Raw genomic sequence first — 25,897 nt, 5'->3', positions numbered from 1 at the left:
TCCCATCACTTGAACCTAACAGCATATACCCAGGGCAAGACAAATTTCAGAAGACATGATACTCTTGAAATACAGAATTTTATTTAGAAACTGTTTAAAGTAGAAAAAAACCCTGTCAAGAAAGACCAGGTGGAAAATGGGTTCCCAATAAAATGGAATTTTAGGGCAACAAAAGTCTAAAAGGCCACAAAAGAGAAATAGCACCACTGTCATTTGAACAATGGCTAGTTACTTGCATTTTTTGGCATTGTTAATCACTGAATCTGGGTTTTCCTCTGAATTCCACACAGAGCATGCACTACACAACATTTTTATCATAAAATACTTGCTTTCTACACACATTTCAGGACAAGCTACCACCAGAAACAAATCAATACAAATACATCAGGGGCTGAACAATCTCAGTAGTGGGTGAGACACATTTTGCAGAATCCTGCCAAACAAAGGAACTGAATAGGCTGTGGGCAAAGCAAATGAGGGAGAGTTAAGGAATGAAGTATTTTAAATATTAATAATTAATTCAGACACGGTACTGTATTTTCCGCAAAAGAAAATTAACATTTAGTAACACACTAATGAATTTTATCTCCAAAGAGATTAGTGCACTGGCAAAGTATTCGGATTACAGTGGAGAGCTGTGAACAGCAGATACCGAAAACACCCCAGCCTGGCAGATCCCAAGGTAACGATGGCCTTCACTGACCACTCCCTTTGCCAGAGGTCCAGAAAGAACTTGCAGCATGATCACCTGCCTGCTGCACTTCCAACTCTAAGCAGCAAACTTCAAGGAGCCAAAGAGGAGTCCCCAGTGGGCAAGGGGAGCAGAGAAGAGAAACGTGGTAAATGTAAACCTAAAAGACAGTAAAATGGGATACAATCCCCATTCAAATCCCAGAGATGTGGGCAAGTCCCCAAAAGTAGTTGTTAGATTAAAAAACTGGGCACACCTCACTTCCCCAAAAAATATAATACATAGAAATTTCGGGGATAACTGGAAAAATAGAGAAATGCTCAATGAAAACCAAGCTCTTCAACTGTAACATCTCAGGGCTGAAACACATCCTCTATTATCCAGGCAACGATGCCTCTTGCTTTTTAGCTGGGATGCAATTGGTCAATGACACCAAATAACTTTACAGGGCAACTTTTTAAATGTTCCTTTTAGACCAAAGCCTAGGCCTATGAGGGTTCAAGCAGCCCTGTAAGACCTGTTGACAGCAGGTTCCAAAGGTTCCAAGGTCTGGCCCTTCCTTCCCAGACACAATGTCAAACGCAAAATCTCTTGTCATGTTACATTTTATATTTTGAAATGTGGAAGCATATTTTAAATACTCTTAAGGCATTTACTTATTACAACATTCTCTGATTTCACATTAGCTTAAAATTCAATTCAGTCTTTACATTTCTCCACTGAGGTCGCCACCTCAGCATATTACATAACATCTCTCCAGCATTCAGTGTGACCCGCATCCGCATGGTGAGCCCCACGGTCAGCCTCTCTGTTTTCCAGGTGAACCAACTAGGTGTTAATACTGCTCTGCTACAAGGTAAAAGCTCCTAACTCAAACTTATTGGAAAAGGAGTGAAACGTCTGCAAAGTGCACTTTAAGAAGAGGTACTTTTTGCTTATGAAAAGAAACCAGTGAGTCCTCTAAGGATAACAAAAGGGAGTATTTTACAGTTAAGCACATGATTTGGAGTGAAGAATTCCGATGTTGCTCTGCTGGTCCAGGCTGTTAATACTCTTCTTGCTCCTCCTGTGGGCCCCCTTCATCAGGTATCACAAAGCCTTCCTGAAATAGGAAAATGAGAGGGGAAAGCCACTGAAAGATCCATTTCTACTGTGAGTTCACTTTCCTCATACTTACAGCCTCTTAAAAACAATGGTTCTTCCTGGCTCTATACAGGCCAGGTGACTGCTATTTTATTTCTTGGGTAGTAGAATTGCATCTCACCAAAGACAAAAACTGAGCACAGTCAAATTTACCCTCAAACTTTTGAAAGTGATGCATATTTACATTGTCTTCATTATGGTGGTAATTTCACCCATGTCATCAAAGGTACATTTTAAATATGTGCAGTTTATTATGTCAGTTATACTTCAATAAAACTGTTTTTTAAAGAAGAAAGAAGGCCAGGTGTGATGGCTCATGCCTGTAATCCTAGCACTTTGGAAGGCCAAGGCTTGAGCCCAGAAGTTCAAGACCAGCCTGGGTAACACAGTGAGACAATGTCTCGAAAAAAAAAAAAACTAGCCAAGCCTGGTGGGACATGCCTGTAGTCCCAGCTACTCCCCAGCGGGGTCGAGGCAGGACTGCTTGACCCAGGAGGTCAAAGCTGCAGTGAGCCATGATCGCACCACCAGGCACTCCAGCCTGGGCAATAAAGTGAGATCCCCGTCACTAAAAAAAAAAAAAAATTTCCCTCAAAAATTCCTGAAGTCCCCTGTAAAGTTCAGTACTCTAACATCTTCTCTCAATAAACTGTCTATGCAGCCAGCTTTCCTTTTATGCCTTCCTTTTGTTATACTTAGGAGCCATGCTTTACCCAAAATATTCACAACAGCAAGACTGACCCAACATCAGTGGCAGAAAAATTGAGTGCACAAGGAAAAAGCAGATTCATGACTCCCACACACCTCATTCTCACTACAGGGCATTCTGGCATGGACTCAGAGCAGGAAATTACTATACTATTCTGCTGTAAAATCAGACTTCTCTTTCAACCACCATCTTATTTCTATTAACTAAATCTCTATAGCTGAACTTACTTAAGATGTGGCTCCACTAAAATAATACTCAGACTAAACCAAGGACCCCCTATATCTTCGTTGTCTTTTTTTCATTACATAGCACAGAGCAAGCTCTAAATTAAAGATTTATTCAACAGATTATCAACTTTTCAGTCATCTGTCTTAATCCCCTGAAATTCACAAGATATGTCTCAAGGACAGTGACAGTAACAGCATTATTACTACCTTGTATTTGCATAGTGCTACACATACTACCAGAAGTTTGTAGTTTGATCCTACAGACCTTGCTAGGCACACAGAATTACAAACATCACCATTAAACAGTGGACACAGCCGGATAACAATCCTAAATCTAGAAAAAAATGAGTCTTCCCTGATCAACTAACATGTCGTGATTAATATCAACAGATTTGACTGTGCAATAAACATGGATCCAAAGAAACTTGATCATAGAGTACTTTGAGGGAGTGAGAACCAGGCAAACTCCTAGGAGGGAGGAGAAAGGCATACCCAGACATGACGTGATATGTGGGCACGCCGTGAAAAAGGGAGCATGTGCCTGCTTTTCCGGGCATGCCCCGGGCCCTGATAAAATGGAGGCAGCAACTGAAGCTGAGGGATCCAAGCAATAGGAGGTGGGGTGGAGTGAGGACATGGGTTGCTTCTGGCTAAGAGCAGTTTGTGGCACTCATCACCTATCAGTGGCCACATACTACAGATGCTGGGCAAGCCAGCCACCTCCTTGTCCTATTCCTTCTTCAAAAGCTCACAGACCTCAGGCAGAAGCTAAAGCTGGGCAGAGATGCCCTCTGGCTGACTTTGAGGGGTTAAAGATGAAGTCTTTTGATGAATGCAACACTGGAATACAACAAGCATCAGCACAGAGTTCACCAACCCTTCTATGTAAAATGGAAAGAAAATATCCTCATGTCAAACACATACATCTGTGGCATACAGAATGTCTACAATCCTCTGCAATACAGGGTCGTTTTCCCCCTCGTTCTCCTGGCAAATCAATTCAATGTTCCGTAGCTTTCCGAAGTAGAAATCCCTCTCTTTCTCCAAGTCTTCAACAGTAAGTTTCAATACGTTGACCTGCACAAGACATTAAAAAGGGTGAGATGCTTGGCATTAGTATGGCAATAAAATATCAGGCAGACTTCTAACCCAAAAGGAGATGTGGTCTTTGATCAAACCCCAACACAGACAAAAACCACATCAGTTTAATGTCAATTTTCTTCAGCCTCAGATAAACAACATGGATTTGTTTATAGCAACCTTGACGGTAACAGCTCCCAGAAAGAGCAGACTACCCCTTGAAACATGTAGAAGCTTCTCAGGGACTGAAAAAGGATTAAGGAGAAAAAACTAGGGAAGCCTGAGACAATTACAGCCTAGCAAGGTAGCTGACAATCATAAACTGAGTCCTTACCAAGGGACTGGACAATCAAGTCCAGGTCTGATTGCATGAGGGGGTCAATAGAAAGGACCCTGGAAAGGGCTCAATGGAACTCTTTGGAAGCCCAATGGAAAGTGCTCTGACCCTCCATGAGCCCCACTGAGGGTCTCTGATTCCCATTAAGAGGCTATGAAGAAATCTGTCTCAGTCCTTAGGCCAGGACTCTATCTAGCCAAGACCAATAAAAGTTATAACACTCATAGTCCTGTGTGTACTTTAACCATGGGGCATCTTCATTCCAGTGTACTGTATTCACATCTATGACAAGTGAATTCCATTTAACTGTCAATGAATGCAAGTTGCAAAAACCTGTATTTACAGGTCAGGGCCACAGAGCAGCATGGAAAGTAAAGCAACAAAATCAAAGGTACAGCCACTGAGAACGACCTCGGCAGAAGGGAATTCTACAAGCCAGAAGGGACCAGAGAAATCATCTAGTCCAGCCTTCTGAACTCACAGCCACAAAAACTGAAGCATGTCAGGTGGAGTGGCGCACGCGTCTCAGCTACTCTAGAGGCTGAGTCGGGAGAATTGCTTGAGCCCAAGAGTTAAAAGCCAGTTGTGACAACATAGCAAGGCTCCATCTTTTTAAAAAATAAATAATAAAAATTTAAAAACAGAAATAAACAGCTTATCTAGCTTCCCCACAGCCTGATGAAGACACCAAACACAACAGAGGAGATCAAGTCTCATCCCAGGAGAAAGGACCCTCTTTATAACCTGCAGTCAAAAAGCATCCAGAGATGAGGATCAGGTGACACCACCAGGACAATTTTATCAAAACGAATTTCAAAGTTCATCATCAAAGTCTTGTTAGACCAAACCAGAATCACAGTTCTAGACAGCCTTTCACTATTCCTTTACCAGCCGCAGAAATAAAAAATAATTGAAAGTTTCAATAAAGTACTAGAGGGGCCAGCTGCCGTGGCTCACATCTGCAATCCCAAAGCTTTGGGAGGTCAAGGTGAGAGGATCGCTTGAGGCCAGGAACTTGAGACCAGCCTGGGCAACATGGCAAAACCTGTCTCTACAAAAAAATCTAAAAATTAGCCAGGTAGGGTGGTGTATGCCTATAGTACCAGATACTTAAGAGGCTGAAGCAGGAACATTGTCTGAGCCCAGGAGTTCAAGGCTGCAGTAAGCTATCAATGGACCATTACACTCTAGTCTGGGAGACACAGCAAGACCCTGTCTCATTCAATCATTCATTCATTCATTCATACATACATACATACATACATACATACATACATACATACATACAGTACAGCTACTGCCTGGTGGCCGGCAAAGCTAAATCATCCATTTTCCCTCACTGTCCCCACCTCTGCTTTTGCTGCAGTTTGCTGCCTTTCCTGAAACCAACAGCCCCAAAGAGCAGGGGATACACAGGCCAAGAGCCGACCAGCCCCAGCGGGAAGCAGACTCAGAGCTACAGCTCCACAATCCAAAAGGCAGGGAAGGGGCCTTCTAATCACATGCCTGGTGGCATTAATGACCAAGGAAGAAAGGAAGTCGAAAGAGCTTATGAAAAGGAATGCTGGCCAGGCGCAGTGGCTCACGCCTGTAATCCCAGCACTTTGGGAGGCCAAGGCAGGCGGATCACGAGGTCAAGAGATCAAGACCATCCTGGCCAACATGGTGAATCCCCGTCTCTATAAAAATATAAAAATTAGCTGGGCATGGTGGTGTGCACCTGTAGTCCCACCTACTCAGGAGGTTGAGGCAGGGGAATCACTTGAACCCGGGAGGCGGAAGTTGCAGTGAGCTGAGATCACGCCACAAAAAAAAAAAAAAAAAAAAAAAAAAAAAAAGGAATGCTAGCTTGGTATCCACCTAGTTTCACTAGTTTCACTAATGCTACCCTCTCAAACCCTTTAAAACCTTCTCTGTCCAACAAATTATCAAGGCCAAACCAGATACCCAGCCTTCTGGGTCCCACCTATAAAGGCCAAAAGTTGCATCTGTCCATGATATTGCTCATAACTATACACACATAACAAACACTAAATCACTAAAAAAATATATACTAAGACACTGGCTTTCACGTGGCACTCCTTTCAAGTCTGTATTCATGAGGTTATTAAAAATCTGTGGCTTGGCCAGGTGCAGTGGCTCACATCTGTAATCCCAGCACCTTGGGAGGCCAAGACGGCCAGATCACCTGAGGTCAGGAGTTCGAGACCGGCCTGGCCAACATGGTGAAACCCTGTCTCTACTAAAAATACAAGAATTAGCTGGGCGTGGAGGCAGGCACCTATAATCCTAGCTACTTGGGAGGCTGGGGCAGGAGTATCATTTGAACCTGAGAGACAGAGGTTGCAGTGAGCTGAGCTCACGCCACTGCACTCCAGCCTGTGTGACAGAGCAAAACTCCATCTCCAAAAGAAAAAAAAAAAAAAAACCTGTAGCTAGTAATTAAGGTCACTCTTAGAACCTTATCTTGAGGTAAAGCAATAGTTATAACCTAAGAAGCCCCAAGTCAGTGTTTCAGGCCTGCACTGGCCACAGTAGCCATCAACCACATGTGTCTATATAAACACTTAAACGTGGCCAGTGCCACTGAGATGAGCTACAAGTATCACATACACACCTGATTTCAAAGACCTAGCAGAGTCTTCAAATGTAAAACAGCTCATTGATCATTATTTATATTTGATTATATGCTGGAGTATTATTTTTTACATATTAGATGATGTGTTGCTAAAATTAATTTTACCTATTTCTTTTTATTCTTTTTAATGTAGCTACTAGACCATGTAAATCAGGTAGCTCACACTTCTGACTCACCTTCTACCTTCATTGGACAGCACTGCTTTGGACTAAAATCAACTAAAAGTAAATTTCTCCAGGACGACTTAGGAATGTAGAATCTTTGCAGATCTCCCAAGGATACGAATACCACAAGGTAGTGTGTGCAGATACACTGTTTTTCCCACAGCCTGACAAGCCCACGTGGCTCCATTTTCCATATTTACAAAGGGCTGCAAATGCAAAAACTTTCAGGAGGGGCCAGATAATGTAAATGAGCCAAGAGAGGTGGTAACAGGTAAGGGAAGGACTTTGACAACCTGGAGACAAATCCTTTATATTTAATAAATAAATAAATAAATAAATAAAACTCTGTGCAGGCCAAACACAGTACTTCTATGTCAGGGTTGAACCAGCTGGGTATGAGCATTTGATCCCAGCCTTCCAGGATCAACAAAGCACCTGGTTAGTGACCTTCAGCCTCTGCAAACTTAGCCTCTCAATGTTCCCCAGCACCGATGGACATGCAACAGAGTTATAAGCCTCTTCAAGACCACAATCCCTCCCAACCTCGACTGTTGAAGTTCTACAACACCGACCATCCAAAGCAGCTAATTCTGGTCACCCTCTCAGGGAAGGAAGCCTCCTCAGACCCCAATCACACTCTCCCCCATAAGAGTTGTGGTTCTTGCCTTCCGTAACCCTCATCTGGGACTTGAACACAGGCAGGCACCAAGTCCATCTTCTCCAAGTGTATCAAACCTGTCTAGGTCTAGGACAGATCTCCCATGCCTTGGTACTCTCATCAACGCTTAGCAGCAATTTGCCCAGAGTCATTATCTGGTGAGTACTTACAGTTTCCAAAGGTGGGTGCAAGGAAAAGAAACATCTGTATACCTTAGATAAATCAAATAACCTCTTCCTCAATTCCCCATTCAGCAGGGACTGACTGATCTAGGTTCTGGAGACAGGTATACCTGGGTTCAAATCCTAGCTCAAGTTATTTAACCTCTCCAAGCCTTATTATCCTTATGTGTAAAACCTCACAGGGTTGCTGCGAAAGTGAAATTAAGTGCTTACACTGTGCATGACATAAGCACTTTTAAAATGTTAGCTATGGCTGGGCACTGTGGCTCACGCCTGTAATGCTAGCACTTTAGGAGGCTGAGGCAGATGGATCACAAGGCCAGAAGATCGAGACCATCCTGGCTAACACGGTGAAACCTCGTCTCTACTAAAAATACAAAAACTTAGCCAGGCGTGGTGGCGGGTGCCTGTAGTCCCAGCTACTGGGGAGGCCGAAGCAGGAGAATGGCGTGAACCCAGGAGGCGGAGCTTGCAGTGAGCAAAGATCGCGCCACTGCACTCCAGCCTGGGCGACAGAGTGAGATTCCGTGTCAAAAAAATAAAAATAAAAATAAATAAATAAATAAATAAAATGTTGGCTACTTTTGTTATGACCATTTACGCATATTATTTCACACAAGCCAAAAAAAAAAACTGGTTCCTGTGAACTTTTAAAGAACATTATTCTACTCTATCAAGACCATGAACAAGAACCATAATCATCACAGTCTTTTATCCACTGACATTTATCCCAGTGGTATTGGCAACAAACACCATTCCAGGCACTTAACATTCAGCTCATATAATCTGCTCAACTGCTGTGAGCAAGTGTCAGCCCCACTTCACACGTGAGGCAGTAAGTTCAGAGAGGCTGACTTGTCCAGATAGAAGTTAACTGACAGAGACACTCCTACTTCTCCCTCAATCTATGGAACCCCAAGCCTGGGCTCCATCACCCAGGATAAGAGCTGAGCGGATGAGAACACATGGACACAGGAAGGGGAACATCACACTCTGGGGACTGTTGTGCGGTGGGGGGAGGGGGGAGGGATAGCATTGGGAGATATACCTAATGCTAGATGACGAGTTAGTGGGTGCAGTGCACCAGCATGGCACATGTATACATATGTAACTAACCTGCACGTTGTACACATGTACCCTAAAACTTAAAGTATAATAATAATAATAATTAAAAAAAAAAAAGAGCTGAGCAGAGAGCAGCCACACTGCAGAACCTGGCACGCTCTCTCGGAGAGCACAGATCAAGTCGCTGCTACCCAGCCTCAACATTAACCACTCTTTACTCTCTCGTATTTCTTTCTGAAACTGCTTCCTGTGTTTGAAATCCATGTCTTGAAATAGTTACAGGAAGTCTCTCCTTGTTCTCCGAGGCTTCTGTACTTCAAAGTAACAGCCCCAGCGGGTGCTCAAGTCAGCCACACCCACTCCAAGGATGAGGACGGTGACCCAGTCACCTGGACACTCCCAAGGCACCTAAGACCACGGGGCACACACAAATGAAAGAACGAAAAAGTGAAATGTGGGCCAGGCGCAGTGGTTCATGCCTGTAATCCCAGCACTGGGAGGCCAAGGCAGGTGGATCATCTGAGGTCAGGAGTTGGAGACCAGCCTGGCCAATATGGTGAAACCCTGTCTCTACTAAAAATACAAAAATCAGCCAGGCGTGGTGGCGCACGACTGTAGTCCCAGCTACTCGGGAGGCTGAGGCGGAAGAATCCCTTGAACCTGGGAGGCGGAGGTTGCAGTGAGCTGAGATCACGCCACTGCACTCCAGCCTGGGCGACACAGCAAGACTCCGTCTCAAAAAAAGAAAATAAAAAATAAAAAAGTGAAATGTGATTTTTGGGCAGGTTCTCACTGTCCTGATCTCTTAGAAGTCTGAGTGTGGGTCATGAGAGGTTCTGCATTAGAAATCAATTCCCTCAAGTTTCAGGACTTGGCTTTTAGAAAAGTAAAAGGATGCAATCCCAAACTCACTGGAATCACAGAGCATCCCAGATTTTTTCAATGGAGCCAGGCGTGGTGACTCACACCTGTAACTCCAGCACTTTGGGAGGCTCAGGCAGGGGGATCACTTGAGCTCAGGAGTTAGAGACCAGCCTTGGCACCATAGTGAGACCCTATCTCTATTTTATTAAAAAAACTTTTTTAATAAAACAAAATTTAAAAAATAGAATTAACAAAAAGAATCATCTGAAAGCAAGCAAACCAACCAATTACAAGGATTAGTGGGAAAATGTCTAAAAGTCTAAAACTTGTTTTGATCCACAGAGACCTCTGACAGGTGCCTTAAGGACATTTACTCCTGAAGAAGACATTTCGAATCACCCAATTACTAAGAACAGAACTAGAAGAGCCACAGGCTTTTCATACCAGTTCCACTCTGAATTCCAATCTCCAGTGACCCCAGTCTAGGACTCAGCAGAGAGACTGCGGAATCCTTTTTATTAAATTATTCAAAAAGGAGACCTCCTTTATCTTTCATTCTCCAAATCCCAGGTCCCTGGCAGCATTCCAGAAACATTCAACAGGATTCTAGTCTAAGCACTGGCTTCCGAGCACAGGCTTCTGCCACACTAAGAGAGCCCAGGCACACCTGATCTCTCTCTTACATCTCCACGTTCATGCTCCCCGCACAGCACCTGAGGCTCACACGTGTCACATGCTCTGGCAAGCAAACAAGGCAGGTGTTCATTTAAGAACACGGATAAGGCACCCTGGCCACCGCAAGGATCCTATCCCCCGAGGTGACTCACGTGCTAAACACAGGGGTGCCCACCTGCTGCATCAACTCAGCTGCCTCGTCGTCTCCGTTGCCCACACCAGGGTTCTTTCGCACCACACCAGGGCCAGCCTTAGGAGCCGCAGCGGTTCTCTGTGTTGAGATGGGCCTCTGGGGAGCTGAAAAAGAGAGCACAGGTTTTTGAAAAGGAGTAATTCCAGCCCAAACAAACAAAAAATCCACAAGACAACATGGAGAAGCTGTGACCATCTGCCTTGCACAGGTGTTCAGTGAAGGGAACCAATGCTAGAGAGCCCCCGCATGCAAGACAACGCTCCCACATTTGCCTACTGAGTGGTTTCTATCCTGGCAGCAGAGTTAAGTACCAATTTCTGTCATGATGTTTCATGCTGGGAATAAGTCCTTCAGTGAGGTCTTTTCTCCACTGCGGTGAACAGGACTACCATCTGAAAGGGGTACAGTCATTCTGGTGCACAGAGATGATCCACCTTAACCCAGCTCTGACCAAATCCACAAACAGGTTGTTTCATGTTGGTTACAACAGCTAAGATTTAGTTAACACATCTACAAACCAAATCCAGCTTCGTAGAGCAAAGGCAAACTTCACGCTAGACATGAGCACACAGTCTCGGCTGTTGCCAGGTGCCCACTGCTCCCCATCTGGAAAGTTAGGTCCCTCCTAACTCCTCACCTCAGACTCCTTGGAGTGGAAGAGGGAGGGAATCCATAAGAGCAGGAGAGCCTGCTCTTCCCATGAATTGCTTTAAAATCTTCATCTCTGCTTACCTTTTAGAAGGAGTTTAGAAGAGTGAGGAGAGAAAAGCATCACACTGACTAGTATTTATAGACGTCTCTCAGTATTTACAGCCAAAAGCAGACAAAGACAAGAAAAAAGGAGTAAAGGAGCCAACCTATCTACAAGTAAAATTAATCAAGAATGGGCTAAACCTCAAGGTATATATATCACTGATGATTCACCTACTTAGCAATTATTTTGTAAAGTTTGCATATTACATGCCAGGTTTGAAAATATCTCATCTTCCTAACACCCCAAACTATAATCACAAGGCCTGTCACCCACAGTAATAGGCATTTCCTCTGGATGACTCTCTCTAGCACGTTTATCCCAAAGACTAAATGCTTAATGCACGTCTCCACTCAACTGGTAGCAGCATCTGAAATATGAAATGCACGGGGTTATCTATGTAGTTTCCCATTCTAAACAGGTAAAGAATAAAAAGTACTCAATATCTAGAGAAACGGGAACCCTGCTGATGGGAATGTAAAGAGCTGAGGCACTTTGGAAAACAGGTAGTTCTGCAAAAGGTTAAATACAGAGTTAACACATGGCACAGCAATTAGCAATTCTGCTCCCAGAGTATATACTCTTGGGTCTGTAACTGAGAGAAATCAAAACTTGTAGGTCCACACAGAAGCCGTATATGAACGTTCACAGCAGCATTATTCCTATCTGCCATAAAGTGGGAAACAACGCAAAAGACCATGAACTGCTGAATCAAATGAGGTATAGGCATGCAATGGAATATTATTCCACAATAAAAAAGAATGAAGGACTGATACATGCTAGGGCATGGATGAACCTTGAAAACAGCAGGCTGAGCAAAAGAAGCCAGACACAAAAGATCACATACTCTATGACTCCATGTATAGGAAAAGTTTAGAACTGGCAAATCCAGAGACAGAAAGCAGATAAGTGGTTGCTTAGGGCTGGAGGGAGGGGGTAAAGCTGGGGAAAGTGGGAAGTGACAACTATTAACTATGTACAAGGTTTCTTTCTATTTTTTTTCTTGAGACAGCGTCTGTCTCTCTCACCCAGGCTGCAGTGTAGTGGTGCGATCTTGGCTCACTGCAACCTCCACCTCCTGGGTTCAAGCGATTCTCCTGCCTCAGCCTCCTGAGTAGCTGGGATTACAGGCATGCACCACCATGCCCAGATAATTTTTGTATTTCAGTAGAGATGGGTTTTCACCATGTTGGCCAGACTGGTCTCAAACTCCTGACCTCAAGTGATCTGCCTGCCTCAGCCTCCCAAAGCGCTGGGATTTACAGGCATGAGCCACTGCGCCCAGCACAGGGTTTCTTTTCAGAGTGATGAAAATGTTCTAAAATTGATTGTGGTGATAGTTACACAATTCTTTGGATATATTAAAAACCGTTTAACTTTATACTTTAAATATAAAAATATAATTATATGGCATGCGAATTGTCTCTCCATTAAGCTATTTAGAAAGCACTCAACCTACCCTCTCTATCAGATGAACAAGCCTCTCTCTAGGTATTATGAAACCTTAACTAATATTCTTGCCATCCTCTGGAAAAGAAGAAATTAGCATCTGTAGAGTATCTACCCTGCCCCAAAATATACACATTCTATACTAATGTAAACACATCTTGGGAAAGCTACCAAGCCCATACCCTTTTGAGAAGGTATGTAAAATCAGCCTCTCCCCTACCCCCGCCCCTGACTCTGCTAGCACCATGGCAAGCCAAAGTCACCTAGCAGCTAAAGTTCTAGGGCAGGTAGGGAAGCTGTGAGTATACACAGGAAGCTGGTCTACAGAGAGAATAACACAGACAGCCAAGAGCAGTCCCTGAGAGACCTACACACTTCCTTCAAGGAGTTCAGCTCTGGTATAACTTCCCATCCTAGGGCTCTGTAAAAATGCCCTTGTTTTGGAACAAACTAATGCTCTCTTACATGAGCTAGCCTGATGGATTTCTAGAGCTTTGGCAAAACTGCATACAGTAACTTGTTCAAGTTTCAAAAACCCTCTGGGGCAAGTATTAAAATTCCCATTTTATAGAGGAGGAAACTGTGGGGCAGAGTTGAAGTTGCTTACACAGGGCTACAGACACCTAAGGACACACACCGTTATCTGCCTGATGCCAAAATCCATACTCTGGCCACATGCCTGGGATTATATTTCTTAAGATCCCTAAGCCTATGGCTACTGAAAAAAATTCTAGTTGAACGCTGAATGAATATCTGGAACGCTATTTTTTGGAAACGTTTTGGGGTTGTTTTTTTACCTGCACTGCTAGAAGTGAGAGGTTTCTTCGGTTTATTCAGAGCTGGAGCAACAAGGGAAGGAGCCACTGCAGTTTCTTGACCTTGTCTGGCAGCCACAGGGTCATAGTCTTTTCCATCATAGTTTGCATCGAAAAACTTCTTGAACCACTGAACGAATTCAAAATTGTCCTGAAACTTTCCTTTTACTAATTTGTCCACAGGAATTATCTGCAGAGAAAAACAACTGTTTAGCCCCAAAAAAGAGGCTTTTGGCAAGCATCAAACTAGTCCATGCATCAATTCATTATAAAGCTCTGCCAAAAGGAGAAAAAAATATTTTAGAGACCTTAGGGCTAAGCCCCTAAATTTATAAAGCAAGTTTCATGCAGTTTGCCTTCAAGAGTACCTACACTTCCCAACCCCTCCCCACTCTCTCAAATGTATGAAAAGGAATCAGAAACAAAAAAGGAACAAGTACCATATAAGTCACATACACACATCCATCCAAGCACATCGTAAGACGTGATACAAAAGTGCATTATGCTATAAAGAGTAGGTCCGCTATATAACTTGCATGGCCACAATGCCTATCACAAAGCATGAAATCCACTGCACAGGCCAGGCACAGTGGCTCATGCCTGTAAACCCAGCACTTTGGGAGGCCAAGGCGGGCAAGAGTTTGAGACCAGCCTGGGCAACATGGTGACACCTAGGCTCTACCAAAAATACAAAAAAATTAGGCAGGTGTGGTGGCATGCGCCTATGGTCCCAGCTCCTTGGGAGGCTGAGATTGGACTGCTTGAGCCCAGGAGACAGAGGTTGCAGTGAGTCGAGACTGTGCCACTGCACTCCAGCCTGGGTGACAGAGAGAGACCCCATTTAAGAAAAGGGAAGAAAAATCCATTGCACAAACCAACCAAAGGCATCTACAATGAACTGTGTTCAAGAAAATTCTGGGCCGGGCGTGGTGGCTCACACCTGTAATCCCAACACTTTGGGAGGTCAAGGCAGGTAGATCACTTGAGGTCAGGAGTTCGAGACCAGCCTGGCCAATATGGTGAAACCCTGTCTCTACTAAAAATACAAAAATTAGCCGGGTGTGGTGGCGGGCGTCTGTAATCCCAGCTACTCAGGAGGCTGAGGCACGAGAATCACTTGAACCCGGGAGGTGGAGGTTGCAGTGAGCTGAGATTGCACCACTGCACTCCAGCCTGGGCAACAGAGTGAGACTCTGTCTCAAAAAAAAAGAAAGAAAAGAAAAGAAAAGAAAAAAGAATAATTCTAACCTGAAAATAGATCAAGATGCAGAATCAGTCTCAGGATAAATTTTTACAAAATGACATGTTTTCCAAGTAATTCCAAATCCTATTAAAACATGCTTGCTGGGGGCAGGGCTGCCCACCTGCAATCCTAGCTATCTTGAGGACTGCTTGAGTCCAGGAATTTAGACCAGCACTGGCAACACAGCAAGACCTCATCTCAAAAAAAAAAAAAAAACACCAATAAAAACACACACACAAAAAATAACAAATATACATAAGGACCCTGTAAGTATTTCTATTATACAAGAATACTGTGTTTTCAAGTATTCAAATCACTGAAGTGTTGGCCACAACTTAACTTTTTAATCTTTTTTAGAGATGGGGTCTTGCTCTGTTGCCCAGGCTGGAGTCTTATGCTGCAATCATAGCTCACTGCTGCCTCAAACTCCTGAGTTCAAATGATGCTCCTGCCTCAACCTCCAGAGTAGCTAGGACTACAGGCATGAGCCACCATGCCTGGCTTTTAACTATCTTTTAATCTCCAAAGATTCCAGTTGCAATGTATTATAAAAAGAATATATCCAATAATATATCCACCCCTCTGACAAATATAATTTTTAAAAGTTACTTTGCTTGATACTGAAACATTCACAAATATTACCTCTGTACTCACTTCAATAACCCAGAATACATAGGATAGGATAGAATTAGATATAAAACAAAATTGGCCATGCTAACCATTGAGTTACATGAGGGATCATTACACTATTTACTATTTATTGTTTATACACTATTATTACTTTTATATACTTTAGACATTTTCCATATTCAAAAAATAAAATTCCATAATAATGAATGCAAAATTACTGTATATGAACTCTATTTAAACTATGCCTGGAAAGTTAAGTGATATTCTTATACTATAAATGCCTATTTTATATATTGTAGAGACAAAACTAAAATTAAAAAAAAACCCTGATTTCAAAATAAATAAAAACCAGACACCAGCAAGATAATTGGGGGTGTTACTACCTTTGCCATAAAAAAAAAAAGTTATCCCCCCAAAAATGGCTTAAAAGGATAAACCCTTCACAAGGGTGGGGGAAGGGATAAACTACTTAATCTATTATCTACTAAAACAGAGGTAATATTTGTGCTAAACATTAAATGTTTGTGCTAAACCATGCCTGGTGGACCATGTTTCTGTTACCTTCAAAAACCTTTGGGGGCAGAAAGGAGTTTTCCAGCACCCACCACGGAGCCTCCTTGTAACCTTCTATAAAAAGCAAGTATTTCTAGAATCTTCTCCACCTCAGCCTCCAAAGTGCTGGGATTACGGGTGTGAGCCACCACGCCTGGCCTAGAATCTTCTCTACTGGAACTATTCTACATACAGTATGCTTTTACAGAAGTAAATCCAGATTAAGAGAGTTAGATTCCAGACTACTAGAGATTACACAGGAATTTTTTAAAAATAAAAATCACTGTACAAATTTACAGGCTGACTCCTCTAAACAGTTACTAACTTCACAGACGATGAAGAAAGAAACAAGCAAGGGGAATAGGGGCAAGAAGGTAGGGGCAAACTGCTCCCAGTAAATTCTGTGTTAACTGAGAAAAGTTAACTAGATAAATTAAGAAAAAAAAGAAAATGTCCAAAGTCATAAGCTAGCATCTACCTCCTTAGTAACGATCATTAAGGAACATTAACCACAATAAAAGATAACGTTTACTTACTTTGTCAACACCCATTCTCTTAAAACCTGCTTGTAGTATTTTGAAGTTCTGGATGTACTCGTGTTCTAGCTTAGCTTGGAATTTCACTTTCTTCAAGGCAATGGAGCCAGGGAACAGCATGTCCATAAACTGACAATACGCAGCCCCTGAAAGAACAACGGCAACAGAAAAATACAATTAAAGAAGCAGGGTGAACTTCTTCCCAGACCCACTTAAACCAAATACAATTTTTAAAATTGTGAAGTAGACCTACAAAAACCAAAAGCTTCACTAACTTCATGTGAAGTCAATTTCTAAAACCTGTAACAAGACTGTGGTTTTCACCCCATATATTCTACAACATACTTGCAACCCAGAAGCCTATAACAAGGAGAAAAGGAGTGTTTCTACAAAATTTTAAAACTCCTGTTCTTTATTGGTAATCATCATGACAATAAAATGACCACTAGAAACAAAAATGAATGCCTAAAATACAGAAAAGAAAATAACAAAAGTGACATTTTCTGATTTTTCACAAAGATATACCCTCCTCTTCAGGAGGCAATTTCCAAGATCCATCCTTGATCTAGATTAAAAAACATTTTTTTCCCTAAGACGTCTGTCTCCCTGGGCTTTTTACATCTCTAAATACATTTAACCTATCATTTCTTTTCTTTTCTTTTCGAAACAGGGTCTCACTGTCGCCCAGGCTGGAGTGCAGTGGCACAATCTCAGCTCACTGCAACTTCTGCCTCCCAGGCTCAAGTGATCCTCCCACCTCAGCCTCTGGAGTAGCGGGACTATAGGCACGTGCCACCAACGCCCAACTAGTTTTTTATTCTTTTTGTAGAGCACCCAGCCAACCCGTCATTTAATTAACAAAGTTGAATAGAAGACATTTTTGTGTTCCTCTATTAATTTTTTATTTATTTATTTTTTTTGAGACAGAGTCTCGCTCTGTTGCCAAGCTGGAGTGCAGTGGCGTGATCTCGGCTCACCGCAACCTCTACTTCCTGAGTTCAAGCGATTCTCTCAGGCCACTGCACTGTCTCAAAAAAAAAAAAAAAAAAAAAAAAGCGAAACTCTGGCTCAAAAATAAATAAATAAAGACTACTATGATAAGGCCAGGCACCGTAGCTCACGCCTGTAATCTCAACACTTAGGGAAGCAGGTGGATCACTTGAGTCCAGCAGTTCGAGAACAGCCTGGGCAACATGGTGAAACCCTGTCTCTACAAAAAATACCAAAATTAGCTTGGCGTGTTGGCATGCCCTTGTGGTTCCAGTTACTCAGGAGGCTGAAGAAGGAGGATCACTTGAGCCCAAGAGGTCAAGGACTGCAGTGAGCCATGATCACATCACTGCACTCCAGCCTGGGGGACAGAGAGAGACCTCGTCTCAAAAAAAAAAAAAAAAAAGAGACTACTGTAATAAATTATTGCAATATTTCATCCCATTTCATTCCTTCCCCCACTTGCCCATTTTTTTTTTCCAAAAAGTGTTTTATTACTGCTTAAACTTTCCAGGAAGATTATTTCTCTAATGCCGACAAACTGAACTCTCCTAATTCACAGCAGGCTTCACTGTGTACTTTACTGCCCTTCCAGGGCTAATTTGCCAAAGGAACAAGCTTGGGAAGCTAAACCAGTGGTTAAGTAATAAGTAATCTGCAGAATTCAAGACTGCCATAAAATGCATATTCAACTTACTTGAGGTCAGGCCGAACCAGTTCTCTGCTGGTTCCAGCATGTTCGGTTACCGTTATTTTTGGAAAGTCAACATAAACGAGAGCAGGGGCACTTCAGTGACCAGGGTGACATTCTTAATTAAGAAAGGATCTTCAGAAGGTTAAGGCCTTGATTTCTGAGGTGACTGATTTATTTACTCATCCAACAAAAGTACACTGAGGGCATTCTTTTGTTTTTTTTTTTTTTTTTGAAACGGACGAACTTTTTTTAAAAACCCAAATAGAAGACAATCTATTCAGCAACTATATCCACAGTGGTATTTTACCCAGTACTATTTTACACAATTAAAAAAAAGAAAAATTGGCCAAGCGCGGTGGCTCACACCTGTAATCCCAACACTTTGGAAGGCCAAGGCGGGCAGATCACCTGAAGTCAGGAGATCGAGACCAGCCTGACCAACATGATGAAATCCCGTCTCTATTAAAAATACAAAAAAATTGGCCAGGCGTGGTGGCGTATGCCTGTAGTCCCAGCTGCTTGGGAACCCGAGGCAGGAGAATCGCTTTAACCCGAGAGGCGATGGTTGCAGTGAGCTGAGATCGCACCATTCATTGCACTCCAGCCTGGGAGACAGAGCAAGACTCCGTCTCAAAAAAAAAACAACAAAAAAGAGACAATGACTTATGAATGAAACTGGTTACCAAAATTGCACAGGAGTTAAAAAAAAAAAAAGTCAACAACTTATGCATGAAACTGGTTACCAAAATTGTACAGGAATAAAAAAAAAAGAAAGAAACATTCTTATTTATTTCCCTATTTCTAAAAAGAGAAAGAATCAATTACATAAATATTGGCATCCAGTCCTCCTGATAGACTTTTATGCGAGTATGATTCTCTTCATGTTTCTTTTTCTTTTTTAGAGACAAGGTTTTGTCATGTTGCCCAGGCTGATCTCAAATTCCTGGGCTCAGGTGATCCTCTCACTTCGGCCTCCCAAAGTGCTGGATTACAGGCATGAACTACCACACCTGGCCTTTAATTTTTTTTAATGAAGACCTAACTATTCATAATCAGAAGAAAATGAGCTTCCTATCTTCTGTTTTGGTTTGCTTTATGTAAAGCAAGGGAAAAATCAAGGAGGTGCTTGAAGACTTAGGCAAAAATGTTTGAAGAGGCTGGGCGCGGTGGCTCACACCTGTAATCCCAGCACTTTGGGAGGCCGACGCAGGCGGATCACGAGGTCAGGAGATCGAGACCATCCTGGCAAACACGGTGAAACCCCGTCTCTACTAAAAATACAAAAAAATTAGCCGGGTGTGGTGGCGGGCGCCTGTAGTCCCAGCTACTTGGGAGGCTGAGGCAGAGAATGGTGAGAACCTGGGAGGTGGAGCTTGCAGTGAGCGGAGATCTCCAGCCTGGGCAACAGAGCGAGACTCCGCCTCAAAAAAAAAAAAAAAGTTTGAAGAGATACTTCCTTGATCAGAAATGTGACTTGATAAAACCAGTCCCTCAGAAAGGCTGCAGACTTATGCAATATAACAAAAGGGAAGGTGGGGGCTGGGAACTTAGAGGGAACTTAGTGTTCAGTCAGGAGGCCACTGCAGCAGCAGTGAGCAATCTGAGAAGGGGCTGGATCTAGAAGCTCTTTCAGAAGACAAATAAAACTGTGAATTAGCCTCAAAAGATGCTTCTCAGGCCTGGGACACTGGAAGAAAGATGGAATCATGGCCCCAAATGGAGTACCTGGAAAAGGGAGCTAGCCTGAGGAGAAAACAAAGCTGAGATTTTAAGTAATGACAGGTAGGGCAAAAGTATCCCATAAACAGAAATATCAGACCAGATCTGAGCTGGGAGAGGCCTGGTTACAGGTGTGATAACACACTCCCAGAGCAGGAGGACCATGTCATTAGCAGTGCAGCAGAAGCAAGATCGCCAAGCTGTCTTACATGAACTCAAGGGCTGTCGGGGCCCCACATTAAGCTGAGGAGAAAGGAATCTACCATTTGCCTGGGAACATCAACACCTTTGCTGCGAAGGAACCCATAAAGGAAGCCAGGCTGGAGGGAGAAGACAAGGAGGAGAAGGGGAGAGCCGAATACATTCAGTGAGACCCCTCTACATGTGCAGAGGACCAAGCTGTGCTCTTGAGAAAATGCAGAGGGGCCTGAATATGGAATGCAACACAGGAACAATTCACAAAAGCAACCAGTACTCCCTTTCTGACAAAAAAAAGCTCTCATAAAAATCATTCTCTTTGACCAGGTTTTTCCTCATGATGACTATCTTTCCAAAATACTTGATGACTAGCTCTCCAAACTACGGAGACTACAGAATGTATTAATGAATCTTGAAACAACCTGCCAAATCTTTCACTGAAAGTTATCCTTGCCTAATCTCCCTCTACCAGAGCCAAGCAAAGGCTCAGCTCACTGTTGGGGGTAGGAGAGCCCACTGCTGACAAAATTTGGCCACTTCACAGGCAGCAGGCAGATTAACAAAGGACCTCAGCACTTTGCCCTCTCAAGGAAGAAATGTATTCCTACTTTGTAAAGCTGTGTTTAGTGGAGAACTCTGGTCTGCTAGATCCTCTGCTCATCAGAGATGAGGTTAGGAAGGATCTGGCACCAGCATCAAAAGCTCCTGGAATTCTCCTTGGGCCTCAGTAAGCACAAGGAGTTGAGGAGCCTCACTTTCTCTGACTCCAAACCCCTGGCAGCGGGCCTTCTTCAGAGAGACAATGTCTGTGTCTCATCCTGTCTGCTCTCATACTGGAAGCAAGACCTCATTTTCTAAACACCAATGTGAAACACAATGCAACCATCTACATACTCCAAGAGACATCTTATACGGCTTTCAAGAAGACTAGTTATGAATGAACAAGTTTGTTTACAAATCACAGTTAAGTGTCCTGCACTTACCCTTTTCTAGGGAGAAAAAGCACTTTATTTGGGAAAAGTAGCAGACATGAGACAAAACTGACATACCACCCAGGCGCGGTGGCTCACACCTGTAATCCTAGCACTTTGGGAGGCCGAGGTGGGCGGATCACAAGGTCAGGAGTTCAAGACCAGCCTGACCACCACGGTGAAACCCCGTCTCTAGTAAAAATACAAAAATTACAGGTGGCACGCACCTGTAATCCCAGCTCCTCAGGAGTCTGAGGCAGGAGAATCGCTTGAACCTGGGAGGCGGAGGTTGCAGTGAGCCGAGATCACGCCACTGCACTCCAGCCTCCAGTCTCAAAAAGAAAAAAAAAACAACTGACAAACCTCACAGACTTTATAGTGAAACAGTATCACTATAATTAACTATATGTAATTTACATTTGTAATTTACATTTGTTTAATCCCCTCCAAATGTTTCTATAAAAGATATAACAAGTATGCAGCAGGATGCATGTGGGCTGTGTGCTCAGAAAGATCTGGTTCAAAACCAGGTTCTGTAATACATAAGCTGTGCCCCAGGGTTAGTCTCCTCATCTGTAAAAGGAGGATGTGCCCCCATCAAATGACCTGCACTCATTTCCAGGGTCTGGCACACAGTCAGTTATCTGAAAGCTGTTATTATAGGTGATTCTCACACTGGCCAACAAGTGGGCCAGGTATCGCTGCCCCAGTTCACAGATGAAGAACTAAGACATTAAGGGTCTTGTCAAAAGTCACATGGCTCAGAGCAGACTGAAGCCTCTTTATGCCCAGTCCTGTCTACAACAGCTCTCTGCCTGAATGAGATAAACCTAGAGCCCGATCAGCACATATACAACTTATCTAAACATTAAAGATCACATTTTCCAATTAACTAAGTGAAATAGACTTTGGAATATATTTACAGAAAAAGGTAAATTTTAGAGGGAATTGCTGGTAAAAAGCTGGCTCCAGTGAAAACTAGGATGACCTCATCCTCACATTAGTCACAGAACACAGGTCAAACAAGTGCTTTAAAAGCCTCACACAAATGGGGATAGGGAAATGAATAATGAGGAAACTAATAGAAAATGGTGGGGGGGACACAGCACAGATCTAAGGCTAACAGCCTGTTGTCTATGATCAGCAAAGTAATTAATGCTGAATAAACACAACTCTTGGGCACCACTGTGTTACTGTACAGCTTCACACGTAGCCTCCATCTGACCATCCGTAAAACCAAGATTAAATACACCTCACCAAGGAAATAACAAGACAAGTCAATGAAACTAAGACCGAGACTAGGACCCAGCTATAAAATAAGGAAGGGCAGAAGCTGAACTCAAAAAAAAAAAAGAAAAAATCCTATAAGCAACGGCAATAAATTTTTTTTTTTTTTGAGACAGAGCCTCGCTCTGTCACCCAGGCTGGAGTGCAGTGGCATGATCTCGGCTCACTGCAACCTCCACCTCCCAGGTTCAAGCGATTCTCCTGCCTCAGCCTCCCGGGTAGCTGGACTACAGGTGCGTGCCACCAAGCCTGGCTAATTTTTTGTATTTTTAGCAGAGACGGGGCTTCACTATGTTGGCCAGGCTGGTCTCAAACTCCTGACCTCATGATCCACCCGCCTCGGCCTCCCAAAGTGCTGAGATTACAGGCACGAGCCACCACACCCGGCCAAGCAATGGCAGTAATTTAAGATCGATCCAGGGCAGGCACAGTGGCTCATGATTAGTGAGTGAACAGTAGCCGGCTTGAATAGTGGAATTATAAGGCATTTTTTTGTTTTCTTCTTTCTAGTTTCCCACGTCATACGATTAGCATACATAGAAAGAGACCATGTTTTTGTTCTTCTTTTAAATCACTACTTATTTTTCATTTTTTTGAGACGGAGTCTCGCTCTTATCACCCAGGCTGGAGTGCAGTGGTGCGATCTTGGCTCACTGTAACCTCCACCTCCCGGGCTCAAGCGTTTCTCCTGCCTCAGCCTCCAGAGCAGCTGGGATTACAGGCGCCTGCCACCACCCCCGGCTAATTTTTTTGTACTTTTAGTAGAGACGGGGTTTCACCATGTCGGCCAAGCTGGTCTTGAACTCCTGACCTCAGGTGATCTGCCTGCCTCAGCCTCCCAAAGTGCTGGGATTATAGGCGTGAGCCACCACACCGAGACTTTAAATCATTACATCTTTGCCAAATTATTGTTAAACAGTAGTTCCATAAAATTGTGGCTGAAATGATATTTGCTAGACTTTGATCTTGTACTTCTTGGGAATAAGAAATGCCACTGATGAACATAAAACTAGAACAGCAGACAGTAGTTAATACAATTACTGTCCTCAAATAAAACATGCAATCTGGATGCACAATAATAGACACCAAGAAGTCGGGGCTGAGCTTCAGGCCTCAGAATGCAGTCTCTAGAGCAGAAGATGGTGGACCTGCAGGCCAGAGCACACTCTTTATTTAAGTATAGTTCCAACCAGGCATGGTGGCTCATGCCTGTAATCCCAGCACTTTGGGAGGCTGAGGCAGGCAGATCATTTGAGGTCACGAGTTCGACCTCATGGTGAAACCCCGTCTCCACTAAAAATACAAAAAAATTAGCCAGGTGTGGTGATGCACGCCTGTAGTCCCAGGTACTTTGGAGGCTAAAGTAGGAGAATCGCTTGAACCCGGGAGGCGAAGGTTGCAGTGAGCCAAGACTGCACCACTGCACTCCAGCCTGGGCAATAGCGCCAGACCCCATCTCAAAAAAAAAAAAAAAAAAAAAAAAAGGCCGGGCGTGGTGGCTCACACCTGTAATCTCAGCACGTTGGGAGACCGAGGCAGGCAGATCATGAGGTCAGGAGATCAAGACCATCCTGGCTAACACGGTGAAACCCCATCTCCACTAAAAAAAATACAAAAAAATTAGCCAGGCGTGGTGGCAGGCGCCTGTAGTCCCAGCTACTCAGGAGACTGAGGCAGGAGAATGGTGTGAACCCGGGAAGCGGAGCTTGAAGTGAGCCGAGATCGCGCCACTGCACTCCAGCCTGGGCAACAGAGCGAGACTCTGTCAAAAAAAAAAAAAAAAAAAAAAGTTCCTTTGGAAGCAGAAGCAAAGGCAGGGCTGAGAGGAAGAAACAGGGTGGCCCTAACAAAGACCCTGAACCTCTGTGTGTGGCTTTGCAGTCAGATACAGGCCTTCACATTCCTGAAAAACCTACAGGCTTTCCTAGAAAAATGATCCAGCAGATTTCTCTTACCTGAGCACAACTGTTCGATCTTTGTCAGATTCAACTGCAGAGACTCATTGATCCAGGCCAGCATGTCATGTCGACTTAGGTTATCACTGGTCACTGACGTTGAGTATACGTTCACTGCCATCTTCTAAAGCATGGGAAGAAAAGAGAAGGGCCTGTGTTACATTAGGCATGCAAGTAAGGTCAAGTGTTTCCTAGAGAGTCACCAAAAGCAAACCTGTAGGAACACTCAATTTTATTTTATTTTATTTTATTTTATTTTGAGACAGAGTCTCACTCTGTCGCCCAGGCTGGAGTGCAGTGGCACGACCTCGACTCAACTGCAACCTCCCAAGTTCAAGTAATTCTCCTGCCTCAGCCTCCCGAGTAGCTGGGATTACAGGCGTGTACCACCACACCCAGCTAATTTTTGTATTTTTAGTAGAGATGGGGTTTCACCATGTTGGCCAGGCTGGTCTTGAACTACTGGCCTCAGGTGATCCACTCACCTTGGCCTCCCAAAGTTCTGGGATTACAGGTGTGAGCCACTGCGCCCAGCCTAGGTACATTGACTTTTTAAGCCTCACCTTCTTCCCCATGAGGCCAAACGAGAGACACTAAGATTCCAGCCACAGAATCTGGATTTCCACATACAAACATGACCTGAAATGAACTGCCCAACACCAGCCAGACTAAAATTGAGGCCCCATTTTAATGTGATTAATATACAATTCTAAACTATAAGAGGCACTAAATAAAGGGATGAGTAAGTGCTTTTATGATGGGAGGCAGATGCATAAACGAGAATGCTTTCTGTTTAGAAAACATCAGCCCAAAGTTACCCATAAAGATATCAAAATGTTACAATTTTCTTCAGATAATGGTTTTTTGTTTGTTTGTTTCTTTCTTTTTTTTTTTTTTTTGAGACAGTCTTGCTCTGGTGCCCAGACTGGAGTGCAATGGCACGATCTCAACTCACTGCAACCTCCGCCTCCCAGGTTCAAGTGATTTTCCTGCCTCAGCTTCTCAAGTACCTGGGATTACAGGCGCATGCCACCATGCCTGGCTAATTTTTGTATTTTTAGTAGAGACAGGATTTCAGCATGTTAGCCAGGCTGGTCTAGAACTCCTGACCTCAGGTGATCCACCCACCTAGGCCTCCCAAAGTGCTGGGATTACAGGCGTGAGCCACCACGCCTGGCCCGATGGGTTTTTATTAATTCCTATTTATAGTTTTCACTACTTCCCAAATTTTCCTTAAAGACTATACCTAGGCCAGGCACACTGGCACATGCCTGTAATACCAGCACTTTGGGAGGCTGACGTGGGAGGAGCGCCTGAGTCCAAGAGGTTGAGGCAGTGAGATCCTATTTCCAAAAAAAAAAAAAAAACTATAAATTCTTTCATAATTGAAAAAGTAAATCAGCTTTTCAATACCTAGATATTAAAAAGGCAGTATCAAATGACCTTACAGGTGAAGAATCCTTGTAGTTAATTCTCTGCAG

General features: G+C 43.4%; 1 protein-coding gene across 2 annotated transcripts in view, besides 2 other annotated features; it reads right to left on the bottom strand.

Moving 5' to 3' along the window:
• Positions 1-59: 59 nt before the first annotated feature.
• The window catches only part of MAPRE1 (microtubule associated protein RP/EB family member 1), a 30,629-nt gene continuing 4,791 nt past the window's right edge, over positions 60-25,897 (bottom strand). For both annotated transcript variants that reach the window (XM_011528696.3, NM_012325.3), the window contains exons 2-7: positions 24,417-24,540; positions 16,603-16,748; positions 13,624-13,831; positions 10,609-10,730; positions 3,695-3,847; positions 60-1,793 (exon numbers count right to left, since the gene is read on the bottom strand). In XM_011528696.3, the coding sequence (XP_011526998.1) occupies positions 1,737-1,793; positions 3,695-3,847; positions 10,609-10,730; positions 13,624-13,831; positions 16,603-16,748; positions 24,417-24,537 (807 nt within the window). In that variant the 5' untranslated portion in view covers positions 24,538-24,540 and the 3' untranslated portion in view covers positions 60-1,736. The remainder of the gene's footprint in view (positions 1,794-3,694; positions 3,848-10,608; positions 10,731-13,623; positions 13,832-16,602; positions 16,749-24,416; positions 24,541-25,897) is intronic.
• Positions 8,937-9,436: an enhancer, noted in NCBI's record as "H3K4me1 hESC enhancer chr20:31428835-31429334 (GRCh37/hg19 assembly coordinates)". NCBI's record gives its function as "activates a minimal SCP1, AML or CMV promoter by ChIP-STARR-seq in primed H9 embryonic stem cells {active_cell/tissue: H9 hESC(primed)}" and the evidence as "EXISTENCE:reporter gene assay evidence [ECO:0000049][PMID:30033119]".
• Positions 17,385-17,885: an enhancer, noted in NCBI's record as "H3K27ac hESC enhancer chr20:31420386-31420886 (GRCh37/hg19 assembly coordinates)". NCBI's record gives its function as "activates a minimal SCP1, AML or CMV promoter by ChIP-STARR-seq in naive H9 embryonic stem cells {active_cell/tissue: H9 hESC(naive)}" and the evidence as "EXISTENCE:reporter gene assay evidence [ECO:0000049][PMID:30033119]".

This window comes from Homo sapiens, chromosome 20 (assembly GCF_000001405.40).
Source record: "Homo sapiens chromosome 20, GRCh38.p14 Primary Assembly".
Lineage (NCBI taxonomy): Eukaryota > Metazoa > Chordata > Mammalia > Primates > Hominidae > Homo > Homo sapiens.
The sequence above is the reverse complement of the archived record's forward strand: the minus strand, read 5'-3'. Positions and strand labels throughout refer to the sequence as shown.